The 22,322-nt window shown below is 38.7% G+C and overlaps 1 long non-coding RNA gene across 1 annotated transcript in view; it reads right to left on the reverse strand.

Moving 5' to 3' along the window:
• Positions 1 to 218: 218 nt before the first annotated feature.
• LINC00298 (long intergenic non-protein coding RNA 298) overlaps positions 219 to 22,322 on the reverse strand; it is a 54,390-nt gene continuing 32,286 nt past the window's right edge. The window contains exon 3 of the long non-coding RNA NR_015405.1: positions 219 to 2,142. This is a non-coding gene — a long non-coding RNA (long intergenic non-protein coding RNA 298). The remainder of the gene's footprint in view (positions 2,143 to 22,322) is intronic.

The following is a 22,322-nucleotide window of genomic DNA, read 5'->3' on the forward strand; positions in this document are numbered from 1 at the left end:
CAAGACTCCTTTCAGAAGATTGTTTTTTTTAAAGTTCGTATCCCCTATGCAAAAAGGTAAGGTTTAATTTCCCTATTTTTGAGTGTGAGCTGGACTTCGTGACTTGCTTCCAAAGAATTGAGTATAAGAATGAAAAAATAGAAACTTTCCTTGTGGTAACTTGGCAGGTACTCCCTTAACCATGATGTCAAGATTACCATTGCCAGGAATAAGTTAAGTTGATATCCTATATCCATTTATTAGATGAGATGAGAAAGACATTTCCCTTTTGTAGAGTTCTTCCCCAAAACCTGTAAGCCCAGTCTAACCCAGGAGAAAACATCTGACAAGCAAAATTTAGTGACAGTTTACAAAATACTTAACCAGAATTCCTCAAAATTCAAAGCCAGGCAATACAAGAAAAGAATAAGAAACTGTCACAGCCCAGGAAAAACAAAGGAGACGTGATGAACAAATGCAACATGTTATCCAGATTGGAATCTGACACAGAAATAATAGAATATTAGTAAAACAATTGACAAAATCCAAGTAATGTCTGTAATTCAGTCAATAGTATGGTACCAATCCTCATTTCTTAGTTTTGACAAATGGACCACGGTTATGTTAACATTAGGGGAAGTGGGGTGAGGGGCATGTGGAGACTTTCTCTGTAAATTTTCTGTGAATTATTATTATTCCAAAATAAAAAAGTCTTAAAAATATACAGAAGCAATCCTAAATACCATATAGTATTTGCCTTAGCCTATTAGGCACTTCTATAACAGAATGCCGTAAACTGGGTATTTATAAGCAATAGAAATTTCTTCTTCACAGTTCTGGTGGCTGGAAGTCCAAGGGCCAGGTGCTGGCAGGTTTGGCATCCGGTGAGGCCCTGCTTCCTGGTTCATAGATGGTGTCTTTTCACTTTGTCCTCACATGGTGGGAGAGGTTAAAGAGCTCCTTTTGCCTTATTTGATAAGGGCACTAATCCCATTCATGAGGGCTCCACCCTCTTGGCCTGATCACCTCCCAAAAGTCCCACCTCCTAATACCACCACTTTGAGGCTAGGATTTCAACCTAATGAATCTTAGAGGGTACAAACATTCAGTCCATAGCAGTATCTGGACTCCAGAAGAGACACAAAACCTACTGTGTTTTATAAGGTAAATTCTACCAAATATGTAAGGAACTGATCATTCTTATGTTTTGCAAAACACTCCATGGCATGGAGAATAATGGGCTAATTTCCAACTCATTCTATGACGCTAGTGTAATTTTGAAACCAAGAGATAAAAAGGATATCAAGAAAGGATGGAAGGAGGAAATAATGAAAACAAAACAGTAAGTCATTATCACGTATGAACTTGTACCTCAAATCCTAAAAAAATAATAAATTAAATTTGTCAGTACATTTAAGGAACAAAACATTATAGAAAACAAGCACCGTTTAATCCAGGACTTCAAATAAGTTTCATGTTTGATATCGTAATAAATAGGAAAAAAAACCATGATTATCACAATAGTTACTGGAAAAACCCTCTGATAAAACTTAGCGTCTCTTCCTGGTAAATGGCTTTAGCTTGAAACAGAGGGAATTTTTTTAACCTGCCAAAAGGAATTGCCCAGTAAACCACAACAAGTCCCCGTATGAAAGGTGAATCATTAGAGACATTCCCATTAAGGGCAGAGACAGGAAAGTGAGGCTCACTATTACAAAAACTATTCAGAATTGTTCTAGAAGTTTTAAACCATAAATGAGGTGAGAATTTTTAAATATATGAGAAAACATAGTACAGCATTTCTCAAAGTGTGGTCACTGGACCAACAGCATTAGGTGGTTAGAAGAACAAATTATCGAGCCCTACCCCAGACCTCTGGAATCAGAAACTCTTGGAGTGGGAAACGGCAATCTGTGCATTAGCAGCCCCCAGGGAGGCTGGGATGTGTTCTGAAGATTGAGAAACTCGCTGTAGTCAATGCTGTTGGTTTCAATGCTGTTGGAAGCCAGAGCACTCCAACCCCCAACTGCTGTGAGTGTTGGCTTCCAACACTTTGCACCTGTCCGCTTCTCCTGAGGACTGTGCTCAGCTGAAGGAAGTCCACTTGCTCAGAAATGCCCAGAAGATTCTGCTTTCTTTCTGTGGAGGATTGCTTTCCAGACCCTGGAAGATACAAGATCCACAGATGCTAAAGTTCCTGCTATAAAATGGTGTAGTATCTGCATATAACCCAGGCACATTCTCGCACATACTTGAAATCATCTCTATATTACTTATATCACCTAATACAGCCTGTAGCCAGTGACTGACTGATACAGGGCAATGACTGACTGATATTGAAGGCAGCCCTCTTGCTTCAAAGTAGCATAACTCTACGATGCTATTCGCAAGCCAGAAGGCCCTGTGGGGTCAGGCTGAGGTTGGGCCACAGCTGAGGCCACAGCTGCACAGCTTTCCCCCTGCCCTGGCCTGCTGTCCTCAGTCTCTGACAGGTTTCACCTGAGAACACATTTTCCTGGAAACCACTGGCCCAAGAATCCTGTCTCAGGCTCAGCTTCTAGGAAATCCAATCAGACATAGAATATAAGTTGAGAAGAGGGGGTGCTTAATTTTGAAAACTATCATTTTCCACCTAGAGCTTTTTAAATAACCACCTATGAGACTATTATAATAGCTCATACTTAAATAGAACTTACTATATGCCAGGTCCATGTATATGTATATATTTACTCATTGAATATGCACAACATTCCTCCAGTGTAGACATATTATTATTATCCTCATTTTATAGATGAAGCAACCAACACACAAAGAAGTTTAACAATTTTCACATTGCCATACAGTTAAAGTTCTTTATCAATTGAATGAAAGATACAGGTTCAAGTATAATTTAAGAATTTGCAAATAGGTAATTGAAAACTATTGGAAATTTAAATTCATAATTAAAGTTTTTAAATAAAAAGATTTTATCAAGTGTGGACACCGTTGATGATTATATTTGCAAATCACTCTATTTGGTTTTCGTTGCATACATTTACTTATTTTTATAGATAGCTCTGGCAGAAAAAGCAACACTCACCAAATACAGGTATCCTTTGCTTTTCCAATTCTTGCTTTCTAAATTCAGACACTGAATAGATTTAACCAATTTTTGGATTACCCCATGTTATATGAATTCTCCCTACTTGCTATTCAAAACTCAGGATCAAAGAGATTTGGAGAACAGTTTTTTCCACACTATCTGAAGTTGCTATCGAATTCTCACTCTCCAACTTTAGAAATAGAATAGATTGAATTTGGAGAAAAACTTGCATTCCATCCTATTCTCTATGTCTTTACTACATTAGGCAAGGCCCTCATACTAGCTTTGGCCAAAGCAATGTCAGCAGAAGGGACCCAGGATAGCCCTTCCCAGGCTGAGCTTCAGAGAACCTGGTGATCCTTCAGCCTCACCTATGTTGTAATGCTGTGCCCAGGAAAAACACACGTTGCCTTTGGAGCAGCCTCAGGATGGTGGGACCTTCATTACTCTGGCTTCCCAAGCAGCTGTGCTGAGCTGAGCCCATGCTACCTTCAAAGGACATTGGTATGCATAAGAAGAAAGAGCATTGCCATGTGGAACCACTGAGATTTTGCAGTTAATATATTGCCATAGTGTATCCTAACCTATCCAGACTAATACAGCAATCATTTATTAAATCTCAAATAAGAGTAAACTGAGTAGTGTTGAAAAAATTGTCATTACACTTAAAGAAAGATAAAGTTAGACTTCTTTCATATAATGCAAAAATAATGCCCTAATGAAATTAGAGTTGTCCTTCTATATCTGTGGAGAATTGCTTTCCAAACCATCAAAGATACAAGACCCGCAGATGCTCAAGTTGCTGAAATAAAGTGGCATAGTATTTGCATATAACCCAGGGACATTCTCCTATATACTTGAAGTCATGTATTACATACAAAACCTAACACAATGTAAATGCTATGTCAATAGATATTATACTGTATTTTTATTTGTATTTTTAATTGTTGTATCACTATTTTTATTTTGTAAATTAAAAAAAATTATTTTATGTATAGTTGGTTGAATCTGCAGATGTGGAACCCAAGGATACAAAGGACTCACCATAAGAAAAAAGTAAAAGAAAATATGGAGCCTATTTTAGGTAACATTTTGGTAAGACAGGCATTTTTATGCAACGTATAAAATACAGACATTAAAGAAAAAAATGACAAATATGACCACATAAAAATGTAAATGTTTCTTATGAAGAAAAACAAATTCAAGATTTAAAAAACAATTTTTCAGTTTTAGAAACATCTTTGTTATATACCTGTGCATACACACAAACACACACACAAACACACATACACAATATGATGTGTATCCAAACTATATAAAAAGAAACTCTATATATCAATTAAGGACAAGGAATCACCTAGTAAATTTTAAATAATAATAAATAAAGGCTATAAATTGACATATTACAGATGACAAAAACAAATGAAAATTAGTAAGATATTATTTTCATTCTTTAAATTGGTAAAAATTTTCAAAGAATTATAATATATAAAGACAGAATGTGAAAAATCAGACCGTATCATGAAGTGTTGCTTTCTGTAAGTAGAATAGGTTTTTAAAGGACATTTTATTTGCATATGTTGATTTAAAAAATACTTTGGCTCACCAGTTCTATCTCTAGCAACCTCTCCCAGGGGAATATTTACCCATGTGCATGAATATTTGAATACTGTTTTTTGTAACATTGTTTGTAATAGTCCACAATTAGAAATACAATGTCATTAAATGAATAATAAAATAAATTATATTACATCCATATTAAAGAACATCATTTATGTATTAACATATAAATTGTTAAGACATTTAGTGACATGGAAGAATGTCTCATATATAGTATAAATGAAAAAGAAAATGAGCATAGAGCAATTTTTTATATAAAAAGAAAGGAGACATGTATGAGATCACATGTTACCTCTAAGGATACAAAGTAGCTCTTTAAATTCTAGGCTATATGAATTCTTAAATTTATTAAAACAAGACTATATGCAGAGCATTCTATTCAATCAATTGCATATGTATATCCTGGAACACTGTTCGCAAAATTAGTCATTCTCAAGTTTGCAATATTTATTCATACTAATATTCACATATTTTTTAAATTGATTCACTTTTATTCTCAAATAAATTTATTGGTAAACATTTATGCCATCACATAAATGAAAGATAAATACAGTATTAAATGCAAAAAAGTTATTCAGTTTACAAGAAAATTGTGCAATTAAATACTGTGATACATTATGTAATGCAAACATAATAAATCCAAACTTTTTAAAAAATGAATACCTGAAAATAAATTTCTCAATGAAGAAGAGAGAGATGTTTCTGGTCAGTCATATAAAAGATATATGTAGCTGGACATGTGGGAGTCTATATTCATATGACAATTCAGTTTCTTTAGTTTTAGCTAATTAGCACCAAATTAACTTACATTTGGTTGAAAAGGGTAAATTACCTTCTCTGACACTGTTAAATACTGAGATTTAATTGTTATTCTAAAATAATTGAGTTACCTAATAAACTGTTACTTCTGAAACACTCTACAGAGTCACTTCTTCTGCTGAATATGTTTGTTTATGTGTTTGCATGGCAATATCCCAAAAGAAGAGAAATAGCAATGTCTACGAGTCACTGTTGCCATCTGACTTGGAGAAACACCCGTGGATACTGTGTATTAAGTCTCCATTGTCTTTTCATGATGTTCCAAATTGTTTCAGCTACTATATGAGTTTATAACCAGGTTGGTAAACAATAGTGTTTTAGGTATTTGACTGAATGAGTGAATTTCATCAGAAGACTCACTCCCAGGATCTGGGTGCATTAGTGTGATGAACAATTATAATAACCGCTGGCCCTGAGACATCCTATAAAATAGCATGCACACATTATCTCATATAATTCTCACAATCCCTTACATAACTGGAATTCCCATTATACAGTTAGGAATTAGAGGTGCAAAGAGGTAAAATACCCTGCCTGGGATCACATAGCAGTGTAATGATAAAAATCAAAATATGAACCTCAAGAATGTTGAATTCCAGAGTGTCCTCTTAACTTCTAAATTGGAATCAGAGGCTGCAGCTACACACCCGGATGTCCTCAGCACAAGCAGTCTCATGTCCCCACCATGGGGCCTTATCTTGGGGAGGGGAGAATCCCTACTCAGGCACCAGGGCCCCTAGAATGTGCAGGCAAGGGGATACCTGGCACCACTGTTGAAAGTGCCATAGTCATACCTTAAGTGAGCTGTTGGCCAGGGCCAGCAGGGTGCCTGTGAGGCCAAGCGTGTGTGTATGTGTGTGTGTGTGCATGCGCGCACGCTAGTTAAATGTCAACATCAGAAGCCTGGAGGCACAGAAGTCACCCATGAGGAGCTGCCCTTCCTATCTCCTGTTTTCCTTTCCCATCCCTTTCTTCCTCTCAATTCCCAACCTGCACACCCATACAGGCAATCCAACCCTAGCTCTGTCTCTTTTTGCATCCCAGTTCAATGGAAAATCACCCTGAGATTGCCATGGTAAACACATACTTTCCGAAAGACTAAACAGCATTAAGAACAAAAACATTCTAGGGCCAGGCATGGTGGCTCACGCCTGTAATCCCAGCATTTTGGGAGGCCAAGGCGGGCAGATCACAAGGTCAGGAGTTGGAGACCAGCCTAGCCAACATGGTGAAACCCTGTCTCTGCTAAAAATTAGCCAGGCATGGTGGTGCCCACCTGTAATCCCAGCTCCTCAGGAGGCTGAGGCAGGAGAATTGCTTGAACCCAGGAGGTGGAGGTTGCGTGTGCCAAGGTCATGCCACTGCACTCCAGCCTGGGCGACAGAGCAAGACTCCGCCTCAAACAAACAAACAAACAAACAAACCATTCTAATGCCCGGCCTTCCTGGCAGATGCATGATTTATATATGTTTCCCAAGTGTGTGATTGAGTTTTCTTCATTTATGTTTCAATAATCTCTTCAATCTTCACTGAAATCATCAGTCCCTGTCAGCAATTAATGTGCTCAGACCTGCCTATGTATATCTGAATTATCCACTTGCACCCTCTGCATTCTGGACTCCAGAATCTGTCTGACGTTCCAGATGCTAATTGCCATGGTCTAGATCTAGGCAGGACTCTGAGTTGACAATTCGACCTCGCTTCCTCCCTGCGGCATCCACAGTGTGCTCCAGCCCTAACCCAGACTCCACGTGGAGAAGCAGCCTAATGCTCTGATCTGCTGTTGAATTGTGCCATATGGTCTTTAAAAGGCTTTGTCTTTTTCTTTTTTTCCAAACAGTCAAGATGAAATTGGCTTCTGGTCAGTAACTCGCTTTCTTTCCCTCCTCTAAGGTAGAGTCGCCAAAAAGGATTTTGTTTTGTTCCATTTTGCCTGCAACGATATGGATCGCCAAATAGGACTGCAAATTATCTACATTGTTTTTATGAAGAAAAATATATTTATTTTCCTAGCACTTGGAATCGTTGCTTGCTAAGGCCAGGGAACCGATGTTGTCCCCTGATTTCTGTCCCCCTCTCACCCTAATTGGAGAGATCTGAGCACACCAGAGGATGTTTGTGGCTAAATTGGGGTATTATGAAAATAGTTCACAAAGCAAGTGGAAAGCTATATATAAAAATGATATTTACTTCTCATTTTAAATGAAGCCTAAGACAAAAGGCATATAGGTAAACACAGCTGCAACATTTTTAGGCATATAATCAAATGCAAAAATAATATTGGAAAACTATGTTAATTATTGTAATTAAATTGTGAACGGTATTGATAGAAAAATATCTTTAAAACATATAAAATCAAAATGGAGCTTATCACATTATGAGAGTTTGCTCTATTATATATGATGTGCCTAGATGGAGGTGCCATTTAGCAAACTGCCCACAACTCCCCAGCAGTAGAGTAGAGGGAAGGAAGGGCTGAGGGACCAGAAAAGAACTCTAGACCTTTGCATAAATCTTAGCCCCAATTCCATGGTCTTGGGGAATAAGTTTGCCTGACCAACGTCTGAAAAAGTTGATAGAGAAGAGTCAAAAGGGCCTAGATTTTGGAGTCAAGTTTATCTGTGTTTGAAGCATGGCCCACCCACCTCTTACCAGGGTGTTTTTAGGATCCACATCCCCAGCTACAGCAGGAGACAAGGGTCTTGAGACCTTTAGAAATCCAAATTCTACTCGGACAACATAGTTGTCCTGGGCAAAAGGAAATGTGCCATGATCCCAACATTGTTTTCCTACATTGTTACTACATGGCTATGAAGTTTTTAGCCTTACTCCTAAATGTCTGGGGGTTTAAAGAATGGTTCAGCAAACGTGGCTCCCCCTTAAAGCCCACCATGTCCCCAAAGTCTAGAAGACTCTGTCTTTGGCTGCCTTTAATCTTAGAGTTCGTTTTCCTCCTGGATACCTGTGTTCAGAAGACACTTTGGCCCCAATAGAGGTGTCTAAAGCAGTGCCTGACTCTTCTTCTGGTCTACCACGTTCCTCTTGAGGATCCTTCTGAGTGCAGAAGAAAACTGGACATCAACCAAGAGGTTAACGGGTGCCATTTCTCCTCGTTACTTTGCATCATCCAAAAAAAAAAAGAAATGCTTCTTCAAGTTTTCCAGTCAATTGCACTCACAGCAAAGGTTGGTTGAGGAGCCACTCTGGAGCCTTCCCATCTGCTGCTTCATGGAAATGTTTGTACAGGATCTGGGCTTCCTGCCGAGCCCCGTTTCCATCATAAGTCGTGTGTTTCCTGTGCATGTTCTCACTCCACACATTAACCCCCTTTTCAGTTTTCACTTAAGTCTTATCTCTCACTTGATGAGCAATTTTTTCACTGGCTGGATCATTTGCAACAGTTTCACAAATGTCTTTTTCTCATTTCTGTAGAGAGAAATTGGTGAACTTGTTCATTCCTCAGATCTCAGCCACTGCTGAATTCATTTCTCTCTTTAGTTTACTCACTTTTATATTCTGGCGAAGAAACCTACGTGCCTTAGCTTGTCTCACTTTTTCATCATTTTCATCATCTGCACTAGCAGTTGGCCTTTTTTGGGGGGAGAGATGGACAATTATTTCACAGACGAACTAAATTTTTAGTAATTGAATACAAATAGCTGCATATACAGCAAACAGAGACACTCCGAGCCACCCAGGCGTGAGTCAGCTGTCACAGTAGGGGGGCTCAGTCATGGACCCCAGCTGCAGGGGACAAGCAGGTACTTACCTTAGCAAATTATCACAGTATTTGCTAAAGGCCTGCTCAGAGCGGCAGAGCAAGATAGATCTGTTGAACTTTACACCCTGGGCACCTCCATAGCACATTGGAAGTCACGTAAGCCAATCAGCCTCCAATAACCTACCTGTCAATTGAGAATCGTGATGATAATGATGCCTGCTTCACAGTATTGTGATGATTAAATGAAATAATATTTGTAAAAAAAATGTTTGAAAAAGTGTAGATGCTCTGTTATTATTTTCTACCGTCTCACAGAAATCCCATTTAGAATATCCCTCCACTCGGCAACCTGCCAAGGTGAGTTTGTAGTTTAAGGGTGATACGGTTTGGCTGTGTCCCTACCCACTTCTCATCTTGAATTGTATTTCCCATGATCCCCACATGTTGTGGGAGGGACTCAGTGGGAGGTAATTTAATCATGGGGGTGGTTACCCTCACGCTCTTCTTGTGATAGTAAGTGAGTTCTCACAAGATCTGATGGGTTTATAATGGGCTTTTCCCTGCTTCACTCAGCACTTCTCCCTCATGACACCATGTGAAGAAGGATGTGTTTGCTTTTCCTTCCACCGTGATTGTAAGTTTCCTGAGGCCTCCTCAGCACTGTGGAACTGTGAGTCAGTTAAACCTTTTCTTTATAAATTACCCAGACTTGGGTACGTCTTTATTGGCAGCTTGAGAATGGACCAGTAAAAAAGGCTAGAACTGAATCTATGTGGAGAAAATGTAGTGGGGAGGGGGTGTGCAAACTCTTAGGAAGTAAGTGTTTTCACAGTCAATAGAATATAAGATAGCAACCCTTGTGCTTTGCTGGTAGACATGTAAAATGGTTCAGGTTCTGTACAAAACAGTGTGGCCGTTCCTCAAGATTTTAACCACAGAGTTACAATAAAATCCAGCAATTCCTCTTCTGAGTGTTTACTCAAAAGAATGCAAAGTGAGGACTTGAACAATATTTGTACTCCAATGTTCTTAGCAGCTTCATTTACAATAGCCAAAACGTGAAAACAATCCAAATGTCCATTGACAGATGAATGGATAAACAAAATGTGGTAAATACATATAATGGGATATTATTCAGCCTTAAAAAGGAAGGAAAATCTGACATGTGCTACCACATGAATGACCCTTGACATTATGCTAAGTGAAACAAGCCAGACACAAAAGGATAAACATTATATGTGAGGTATCCAGAATAGTCAAATTCATAAAGACAGAAAGCAAAAAGGAAGTTACCAGGGGTTGAAGGGAGTGGAAATGAGGAGTTAGTGTTTGATGGGTACAGAATTTCACTTTGAGAAGATGGAAAATTCTAAATCTGGATGGTGGTGATGGTTACACAGTAATAGCAATGAACTTGACACTTAAAAACTGTTAAAATGACAAATTATATGATATCTATATTTTACCAGAATAAAAAATAAATACAATATTAAAGCTACCTACAACAAACAAATCAATACTGTCATTCTAAGAATGCTAGGTGAGTAATAATGTGTTTTGCAAATTAATTTCCTTTTATCACTCTTTAGACAGTCTCAATAATCATTTCTGTGGTGTCATTAAGATGGCTGTGAAATTCACCTAACTTCGTTGTAGATTATAAACAGACTAGAGGTGATTTATTTTGCCTTCATCTGGTCCTTCATCAAAATACTTAATAAATGTTTGGTCTTATGTATGAAAATGTCCTTCCTTTTGCACCCTAGGTTATGCCATAACAAGCAAAGATTTGTGGATTTGTGAGACATAAAAATGTTTGTAAGTATTTTTCACCATTTTCCTAGATTTTACTAGCTTTCTCCATGTAAGCCCATGTTAGAGTGTGGGCCATGAGGTCCCTGTGGGGTGCCCAGCTCTGAGGAACCCAGCCATGCAGTGCCACATCTAGGCTGCCATCACTCCATCTTTCCTTCCTTCTCTCTCTCAAGACCTCATTGCACAAATCACGTTTTTTAATGTCCTCCATTCTGTTTGTTTTTTCTCTTGATGACGTCTTCGTCCCTCTTTTTTTGCAATTATTCCCAATACAGATGATGTGCAACTCTAGCCACCAGGAGCCAACATTCTTTCAGTGGATAAAAAGGAGTTCCAATACTTTTTCTTACTAAGGAAATGGATTGCAAGGGATGGTGAATTATTAAAATAGTAAGTGTCCAATGAATGTTTGTCAATTGAAGTCAAACTGTTCTGAGAAATAATGACAAGGCATCATTCTGAGGTTTAATTGGAGAAGTCTTGTCCCAAACTCCACTCAAACGTGAAGGAAGGGCAGTATAACCCAGCAGTTAAGAGCATTCACTTTGGAAACAGCCATAGTTGGGACAGAATCCAGTCTTTACCACTGACTAACTAAAGGACACTAAATTTTAGAGTCTTCTTCCTGGGCATAATACTTGTGAAGTGAAATCAGGCTTGCAAAGTGCAAGGTCTATGTTTGTTTTGTACATAGTAGTTACTATGCTTATGATAATAAAATGGAAAAGTATTTTTCTCAGTGTTTTATTACCAGGAATATTTTTACCCTCCATTTTACTCCTTTATAAAGTATGTTTGTGAATTATTTAAAAATACATTACTACTAACCTAGATTTTTTGCTTCTAGAGCCTAAAGCTATAATATGTAATTGGTATTCCCGGAGCCCCTCATCCAAAAGAGTTGAGTGAAGGCCCATGTTGTAGGGTCATACAATTAGTGATTTTATCAGTCTCATCCCAGATTTCTGCCACCTCTGGGTCCAAGCTATTCCCTGAGATATTCTTTACTTGCACATCAATGAGTATTAATGGATCCATATTTATGGTCACTACCTGGAGGGAATGGGTCCCTTGAATTACAGATATCAGTTCATAGCCCCCAAAGCACCTTCAAGAGGCATCTAAGGCTCCATGAGTATAGTGAATGGAAGGAGCGAGGAGGTACGGTTGGTTTTTCCTATTCTCTTCATCTTTTTAATAATAAGTGTATATTCAATTAAGTAGGCTCTCATTACTCAATTTGTGCGAGTTCAAGTCTGGGCTAAAGTAAAGTAGAAAAATAATACAAGTCTGATTATCTTTGAAGAAAGCGATGAGCTTTGCATTCCAGTCAGAGATTTTCAAAGACTGGTCCAGGACTATACAGGTAGTGAAAGTGTGAACTGAGTTGGGAGCATGACTTTTCTTACTCTTGATCAGGCCCCATCCAGTAGCATCTGCAGATCGGGCCCCATGTGATGAATGTTCAGAGTTCACTGCTGTCTAAGCAGTGTATGGAGGGGGCTGGAACTTGGTTGGGTGCAATAGGAAAAGAGCTTTATTTTTCCTCCAATTACTGCTTTCAAACACGCTTTGGAGCAGTACCCTTCCTGTTCATGTTTACACTATCTTCTGGCCAGTCTCTTCTATGATCTTCTAATTTGGTAATTAGGACTTACTTTAAGGCTTAGAAAAGTCCATTTCACCTGATTCAAATTTTCACCCCATTCCCAGTTCAGGCCCGACCCATAGCTAGAGGGCCTTCAGTGCAGAAGGGGATTTGGTCTGCTCTTTTTTTTCTTTTTTTTTTTTTAACTTTTATTTTAATTCCAGGGGTAAATGTGCAGAATGTGTTCTACAGATAAATTACGTGCTGTGGGGGTTGGGTGTACAGATTATTTCATCACCCAGGTAATAAGCATGGTACCTGATGGTAGTTTTTCTATCCTCACTCTCTTCCCAACTTCCATCCTTAATTAGGTCCTGGTGTCTGTCATTTCCTTCCACGGGTGCTCAATGTACAGCTCCCACATATAAGTGAGATCACATGGCAATTTAATTTTCTCTTTCCTCATTAGTTCACTTAGAATAATGTCCTCCGGCTCCATCCATGTTGCTGCAAAGGGCATGATATTCTCTTTCGTGGCTGCATAGTGTTCCATGGTGTATTTGTACCATATTTTCTTTATCCAGTCCACCATTGATGAGCATCTAGATTGATTCCATGTCCTTGCTATTGTGAATAGTGCTGTGATATTCATGTTCTTGTCTGGTTTAGTTACCTGCTCTTACTCCTGAGACTAACACCACACAGGACAGAGTAAAGTAGAAGATGACCTAAGAAAACATACAGAAGTCTTAACTGGATTGCTTTTGTTATGAGATGTTCACTGAAGTCCTTCTTGTGACTGACATTCCAATACTGGAGTTTTACTTGGAGGCAGATGTACAAGTTTTTCAGAAGCCATGGGCAACATGAATACTACATGCTTCCCAGAAACACATGGTGAGCTTGTCAACCCCCTTTTGGTGCCCTCCCTCTCATTGCCAGCTCCTGCACCTGCAACTCCACCCCACAGCCTTGTGATGCTGGCTGCTCTCTTGGTCTTGGTCTCGTCAAAGCATCCCAAGTTTGGCTACTTTCTTCAGCATCCGCATAGCCCAGGGGAAGCTCCATATCACAGCCAAGGCTACCACGTTCTGCCTCTTCAATATCCATCAGCTTCTCCCTGCTCAGACTACATGGAGTGGAGGGTGCAGCAGCTGTGCCAGCTGAGCCCTGGTGTATTTGGCCCAACAAGGATAAATCTAGCACCTTCCTCTTTAAGGGGAGGTGGAGGGATTTAGCTCAAGAAGGATAAATCTAGCACCTCCCTCTCAAAGGGGGAATGGGAGGATTCACTGCTCCTTCTCTTTTCAAGCACTTATCAAATATATCTAGACCAGTAAAGTTTCATAACATATTTTTAAATATATCAAAATAAGCTTTCTGTGAGTGTGTGTTGAATGGACAAATGAATAAATGAAGATATTTTCATGGGTGGAGACATCTCCTGTGCCTGTACTCTGTTCTCAAGAAGATCAAAACTTGCTAATGGTAGAAAAAACACGGCATCCTACAGTTCTTTTAGTCATATGAATGCACACTGACATTAAATTATACCCTATTGAATTGCTTAAATATTCCATTGATATATTTCTTGCTCCCCATTTTGATTATCAATATTTTGAAGTTATTTACCCACTTAATACCATGACAAAATTATTGTACTGATAGGCCAAATTAGAAGTATGAAAAGGATAAAATAGCATACAGAGACAGGCTTGGAGTTCTCGGAGAAGATGGGAAGAGAAAGGCCACTGATATGTATTGATCACCTAAGATGGTAACTGCTGTGTGACGTCTCTCTTATCTCTTATAACAATACAGCAAGGTGGCTAAATTACGGTTGCAGAATCCTGGGCTGCAAGAAATCAAATACGTGACTATAAGGATGTGGCTGCCTAATAAGTTGCAGAAGGGTTCAAATCCATATATGTTTCAAAAACCCCTTTTGCTTAGTCTTGGCGAGCATTGAGGTGGGAGAAGGTTGTGTTTTTGCATGCTCTGGTGCTAAACTGCTCTTCTGAATTTCTGTCTCACTGGACTCATTTTCTGATGAGAATAAACAAAATACATATTTTCCCGCTTGACCCTGAGTTATATGAGACAGGGAATATATGTTCTGTAGATCTCAGCTCCTGGTATTTAGATATTACCTTTGCTAGGCATTCAGTGAATGCCCTGTATCTCTAAATAATTAATACACAGAATTAATAAACAGTATATGGTGAAGCTCAGTGATACCCAAGAAAGAGTAGCAAATACGTAAGTGAACACCTTGAATGTGATCATCTAAAGACAGGTTTCAGGAAATGCCCATATTTTAAAATTTTTAAAAATTCTGAAATTTGACACCTTTATTCTTTTGTGAAATATACTGGTGCAAAAAAGAGAGAGAGATTTTCATTTGAGAATAGTTTTCCTTTATAAGACAGGGATGAGCAGATTGTGGCAGCTGAATGGAACATCCTGGCAGACTGCATCAGGAGAATGATAACATGAGAAGCAATGTTTAAAACATTCCCCTAAAAACCAACTCTCAAAAAAATTTCTTTTAAAAACAATCCCAGAAATGCTGAAATATTTGGAAGATATGAGCAGGAATGAACAACTACCTTCATCTTATTTAAATCTTTCATTTCCTAATTGTTCCTGGTCTGGCTCATAAAGATCTCTAGATAAAGTTAATTGACTTTAAATAGGAGTGGTAAGCTCTTTTACAACTTTTAAAAAATATATCTTTTACGTTCCTGGATAACCTGTAATTTTACAATACTGATCTAGAAACCAGAAGCTGCCACAAATGATGGTGCTAAATCTGTGCTTGAAATGGTGGGACAGAAATGCAAGGTGACTTTACAAAGGATGGATGATTTGAGTCTCTGTTCCTATATCCATGATTTGACTGTGCAAAAGAAGTCCTTACTACTTCTCCACCCACCAATTCTGGTGACAGTTAGGGGGTTTGTGGCCCTAGCCTACATCATTCTCCCCTGCTGGATGCTTCCTGCTCTTGAACATCGGACTCCAGGTTCTTCAGTTTTGGGACTCGGACTGGCTCTCCTTGCTCTTCAGCTTGCAGATGGCCTATTGTGGGATCTTGTGAGTTAATACTTATTATGCTCTATCTATCTATCTATCTATCTATCTATCTATCTATCTATCTGTTATCTATCTATCTATCTATCTATCTATCTATCTATCTATCTGTCTATCTACCTATCCTATTAGTTCTGTCCCTCTAGAGAATTCTGAGTAATACAGTGGGCATGCTGATTTGGGTACAGAAATATTCTTACACTTGGCATTACACTAGTGGAATATATCTTACCTTCTGGTGCATAACCCTCCAAGAGCAGACTTACTAGATATCTTACGATTGTGTTCTTCATCTGTTTCTCAAATTGCTCTGGACTTGATATCACCAGGGCAGAATTTTATAAGGGGCAGCTCTGCCTTCCTGTTTGCATATCTGCATATCTGCTCTCTCTCTTAATCAGACTGCTTAGTTAAAAATGTCAAATACAGCCCTGAAGATTCTGCACTTAGGACTCCATTCTACAATGCTGAGACAGTCCATTTCAAATCCAACTATCAGTCAGTAATACTCCCACCTCACTTGTAAACCATGTTGAGGATGCACTACCAGCTCTCACCTACTCAAGCATCTGTCTGCATTCCTTGCTCCTAATAAGGCAACAAGGCCAGCTTTTAACAAAATAATAACAATGGTGTTCATCATCATCATCATCATCATCATCATCATAGCAATACTAATATGTCCAGGATACATTGTAGGTAAAAGTGACTTGAGCAATAAAAGCATTCATTATCTGCATAAGATACTCAGGGACAGGAGAATTCCTTGGCTAGTCCATTCTCCTGCTCAACTGCATTGCCAAGAACTCAGGTTCATTCCTCCTGTCTGCTCCCCATACTTAATGTGCTGATTTTTGTCCTCAAGCTCCCTTCCTTTGTGATCACAGGACGGACCCCTGCAGCACACATCCCTATACAGCAAATAAAGTCAGAGGAGGCAAATTCTCTCCTTGACTTCAATTTTTAAATGAGAGAAATGAGAGAAAATTCCCACAAGCCCCCTGGCTTGCATTCTGTCAGTGTCATTGGCCATATTGCCAGCATATGGGCATGCCTCAGCCAATCAATCAGCAGTGAGGGCAAAACATTTACTGTGATGGGCTTGAACCAATCACGACACACATGAGACTGGGCACTCTCCTGAAGCAAGTGGCTAAAATGGAGGACATCAAACACAGGTAGCCTCTACAAGAAAGACGGAAGGGCAAGGGAGTGGATCCAGATGCTACCTATCTGCTTTAACAGAATCATGCTACATATGTATTTCATGATGAAGCCTAAAGCCAGTGAACAGAAATTAACCCCATAAAAGCAGTGCCTCATTCAGCAAATGAGCAGATATTCTTCAGTACCTATGGAATGCAAGACTCTCAGCAAGCCACTGGGGAAAACATGATCAATTATACATTATATTGAACATGTTTCAATTCACTTATTTTTTCATTCATTTACTCAATGAATATCCATGCAGTAAATAGTAGTGTCCTTATTACTATTGTTAGTTGGTAAACTACTACCTGTCCTACAGAGTCTTGTCATCTGGTGAGGTAAACAAGGCATTCACATTCTTATTTAAACATCGTTTACACAGTCAAGTATAGTGGTATGCTGGGGCTGGCTCATACAGGCTCCTGAGAACCAATTCTACGTATTCCTTTCCAAATTTAGAGTAGCTTACACCACTGAAATTAGAAAATGCTACAAATCAGAAGACACACACACACACACACACACACACACACACACACACACACACGCCCCACAGAGGCTATTACTAAACATTAACCAGCATGCCACTGGTTATGTGACAACAAAAGTTGAATCATAAACCATGAACTGTGAGTAATACTCAAATGACGAGTAAAACAATGAGCATAAAAAGAAAGCCCAACTAGCATTGGCCCCTCTACATGGTAGGTGCTCAATACAAAAGTGTGCTAGATGGTCTGATTGAGGAAGGAGGGAGAAAATGAGCTACCAAGAAAATTTAGGGGGAAAAGTGGCATTTGAGCTGGATATTGAAGAATGGGTGGAATTTGGATAGTCAGAGAAATAGGAGAGGGCTGTTCATGGAGAACAGGATGAAGACAAATCCTGAGGTAGAGAAAGGTCTTATGATTGTGTCCATGTAGCCAGAGTGCAGAGTGTGCTTGGAGGGCCAGGGAGTGAGGTTAGAGCTTACTGCAAGTCAGTATGCTAAGGCTTGGACATGAAATAGCTTAGCTTCATTTTTACAGGAAGTACATTATATTTCTGCATTCTAGCTCACATGGATGTATAGATTAGTTGGTTAATTATTACTTAGTTATTTTACTGCAAGATGAGATTGACGATTTACCCAAGCCCTGTGATACTAGAAAACAGGAAAGAGTAAAGAAATCTCCTCACGTTTTGTCTTCTGGGAAAGGCTTTTTGCAAAGAAGCACTTCTCCTCCTGTGACTTAGAGAAGACTCATAGGTGCCTATTTATTTGCTTATGACACAGCCAGACATAGACCCTCCAAATTCCATTCATTGCCCCATAAATGATTAACTGAATTATTTGTACCCATTGACCAATCTGGACAAGACACCTGCTAACTTGCCTTAATCAAACTATTTAAGCTTCCCTCCTCCCCTACAGGACCCTAAATTTGGTCCATCCCCAAGCGCTGGAACCACCACGCCACCTGCTCACACCTATCCCCTGTACCTGTTTCTTTCTAGCCTTACTTACATCCCGCTATAAAAGAAAATTCATTTCTGACTTGTAGATATTATGGTTGGAGCATTCTCTCTACAGCAGTAGTCTCTTCCCCGCTTATTGCAAAAATCCTTCTGAAAAATATCTTTTCTTACCTAAATGCGGATTTGTTTTTATCTGACAGAATTATGTTTTAGTCTGTCCCTCTGTGCCTGAAAGCCAGGCCATTATAAGTCCTTAGTGGTCCCAATAGAGACCTAAGCTCTACAAGATAAACAGAAAACTACTCTATCCAGGGAAAACAGCTCATGCTCAATGTCATCAAAGATGACGGGCAGGTTAAAGCAAGGGGATAATCTCACATACACAAAAGAAATCTAGGAAGTGTTTGCATGTGACATCTAAAGAACCTTTTCTGACTTTGACAATTGTAAGGAACATGTGTTGAGAGTCTTTGAGAAGGGTAACCGGTTCATTAATTTGACATTCCTCCACAACAAATAAAAACAAAAATTAGCATCATTATCAGATAATGAATATATTCATATGGCAAGAAAAAATGCTTATTGGTACCAAAGATAAAATATAGTCTATGATTTTAGAATCATCAGTTGGGACTTCTCTATGTAAGAAAGTATGATACCAGAACCAATATTAAAGTGGGCTGGCTGAAATTTACAATTGTTTCAGACCCACTTATTAGAACTATATTGATTGAAAAACATTTGAAATCCTATAAGAGCATATTATATTTTAATGGGCAGCTTGAAGTGCATTTCAATACTCATAACTAAAAATGATGTATTTTACTAAAATTACTCTGATTTAATTATTAACCTGGTTACATCTACTAGAGTATGGTTTCTTATGTCAGTTTAAGTAACTTTACGTATTTGAAATTAATAACATAAAAGAAAGACACAAACAAAAAACTTGATATGAGATCTGAGAAGGCAGAGCTTTGCTGCCTCTTTTCCCTCTCTTCTCTCCCTCCTTCCCTCCCTCCCTTCCTTCCTTCCTTCCTTCCTTCTTTCCTTCCTTTTCCCATACAGCTCAGACAGCCATTTTTTGTGGTTGTTGTTTTAAGCAGTGAAGTATTAAAAATACGTTGTTTTCACTGTAGTATTTCTAAACTTGGAAAGGAGAACTAACTTCCTCCCAGTCAACTCGTTCATTACCAGGAAAGCTTAGAATTCAAAAGAATCAACCATCCCTCCTCTCCACTTCTCTAGCCATTAAAGTGCATGTTTTGCACTGAATTGGGTTGTCAGAAGCAGTATGACATGTTCTTTCATGGCTAATAGAGAAAAGAAATCAGATAACTTGTCCTTTATATCAGTAACATTTATAGGCCTTAAGTATCAGTGAGGTAGAGTTGCCAGAGTTAGCAAATAAAAATATAGAACACCCAGTTAAATTTGAGTTATTTCTAATTGCCTGTACATATGTACACTGAAATAAAAGAAACTGTTGCATGAGACATATGACTACTAAAACATTAATTGTGGCTAATCTGAAATAATTATGTTTTATACTTGTTTAACTATATTTATTACATGTGATTTGGCTCTTCTTAATAGTTCCTTGCTTTACAGAACTTCCTTACACAATTCCTTACAGTTAAAGTCTCTGTTTCTTTACCTCAAAACATAGCTTCTGCACATCTAACTTATTCTGTTCTTTGTTAATTGAAAATTATGCTCAATATTAGCATTACAGACAAGTTTATTGACTAAACATTGGCACTCTGAGAATTGCTCTTCAAATTTGATTTGTTCAAGTACAAACCATGTTTCATGGTATAACTTATTTTTTCCACACTTCAGGATTATATTGAATTTCCTGATCAGCTTCTTGAAATATTATTTTCTGGCCAAAACAAACAAGCAAACAAACAAACAAACAAACCATGTTGTCATCAGATTTTATCATCTTCTTCAACCCTACATATGAGTTTCCTAAAATTTGCTTTTGTTTCTGAAATCGCCTTTGGAAGGGTCTTCACATGAGAAAAAAAATATTACAAAAGCAAAGGGAAATTTGATCTGCGTTTTGATTACTTGTACCTGCAGTTGCCATAAAAGGTGGGGCATTTATATCTTTGATAATCTCTATAATAGTTAGTGGAACTATTACATTTTTAAATTATGCAAGTAAATTTTCACCTGGCACTTAAAAAATTTATTTGCAAATTTGCAAATTTGGAATTAGACAGTGCTTCTGAATGGTAGAAGGACACAGAGTGGTTTAAGCTGAAAGATGGATGACTGACAGACAATGTGGAAGGCCATCACAAGATCTGCTGCCACTCATATATCAGTTTCATTTGAATTTCTCTTACACAAAAAAATGTATTATTATTTTCTATGGCACTGATAAAGGATATCATGCATCTCCCATGCTTAGCTATTAGTATTTGCTGACTTATATCTTACTTTCCACCATTTTTCGTATTGAATGCACAATTGCATACTACACAAAGAGCTTCAAAAAGACATACACTTGTTTGGTAAATGTCTACTGCTCATAAAATTTATCGTGATATTCACATTTGCCTTTTAACATTTTGGGCACTCAAAAGTACACAAATAAAAATGGATAATAGCAACCGTCACAAAAATGGAAAAGATTAAATTTGAGCATCTTAATGTCCATCTTTGGCAAGTCTGAACTGTGAATAGGGGCTGAATGAACTGTCACAATGGTTGCAAATATGTAAGCTAATGATGAATTACACTCAATATCTGTTATGGAGGAAAACTTCTCATTTTCCTCCAAGGAAGAGTTGAAATTGTAAGGGAGGAACGGTCTCTCCCAAATCAAGCCTGAGCTGATCTTGGATGAGGTTTGAAGAAGCCCATCCTGGAGAGGCTGGTGGGTTCCAGAGGTGAGAGTGTGGGGGACTCAGCACGTCAGCTGTGCCCCTGGTCACTGGAGTTAGCTGACTTTCAGAAGCACTGTCACCGGGGTGAAGACCGGCAGATTGGCTGTTGTCTGTAAGTGAGGGGCTGTCACTGACAGGCTGACTTTCAGGAGCTGGAGCTGTCATCGGTTGGCTGATCTTCAGAAGCGTAGTTACTGGAGCGAGGCTGTTGCTGACTGGCTCCTTTTCAGAAGCACAACACAAGTGAGGCTATCAGGGATTGGCTGATTTTCAGAGCATGTGCACTGATGCGAAGTTATCTCTCATTAACGCTGGGCACTTGTTCACTCCTTGGGACTCAGGCCAGAGAGTGATCTTTTCCTTTCTTGAGGGTGAAAAGATGTACTTTTAATTCTTCTCAGTCCCCTCTTTTGGTCTTCCCTCAGCTGACCCTATGGGAAAGACCAGAAGAGGTTGTCCAGATTTTTGTGTGTAGAGGTATGATTGTCAGCTAGGTTAATGACTGAAGCACCAATTACCGTGGCAGAAAAATAGCTCTATGTGCCAGTTGTTGTAATGTATTGGTAAAGGCTGAGTCTGGGACATTTAGGGCTTCCTGATAAAGTCAATATAGGACACAAGACAAAACTCATTAAATTCACAGCATATCCTGTACATGCAGATGTCTGTCACCCCTTCATAGGCACCGACTACAGAGGATATGTTATTACTTCATGACTCCTTGCCACATGGACAACCACGAGTAGAACGAGCTAAAATGTTAAGATCAGGTCTGATTATTTAGCAAATGCAGTAGATGAGATCCTTGTCCGTGTCTACCCATCATTTCCAAATCTATTCATTAGACGCACGTCTGTGCTTTCTTGGAACTTAACATTTTCACACTTCGTGTTTCTCCTGAAGCACATGTGTTTGAGTGGAAGATTTCCAACACGAAAATCTCCAAGATGACACCCCACAAGCTCACATTTGAAGTGTAGGAACACAGACATTACAATATCTGCAAGTTCTCTCTGCAGGGTCTACAGACTGAAGGCT

This window comes from Homo sapiens, chromosome 2, assembly GCF_000001405.40.
Source record: "Homo sapiens chromosome 2, GRCh38.p14 Primary Assembly".
Taxonomy (NCBI): Eukaryota; Metazoa; Chordata; class Mammalia; order Primates; family Hominidae; genus Homo; species Homo sapiens.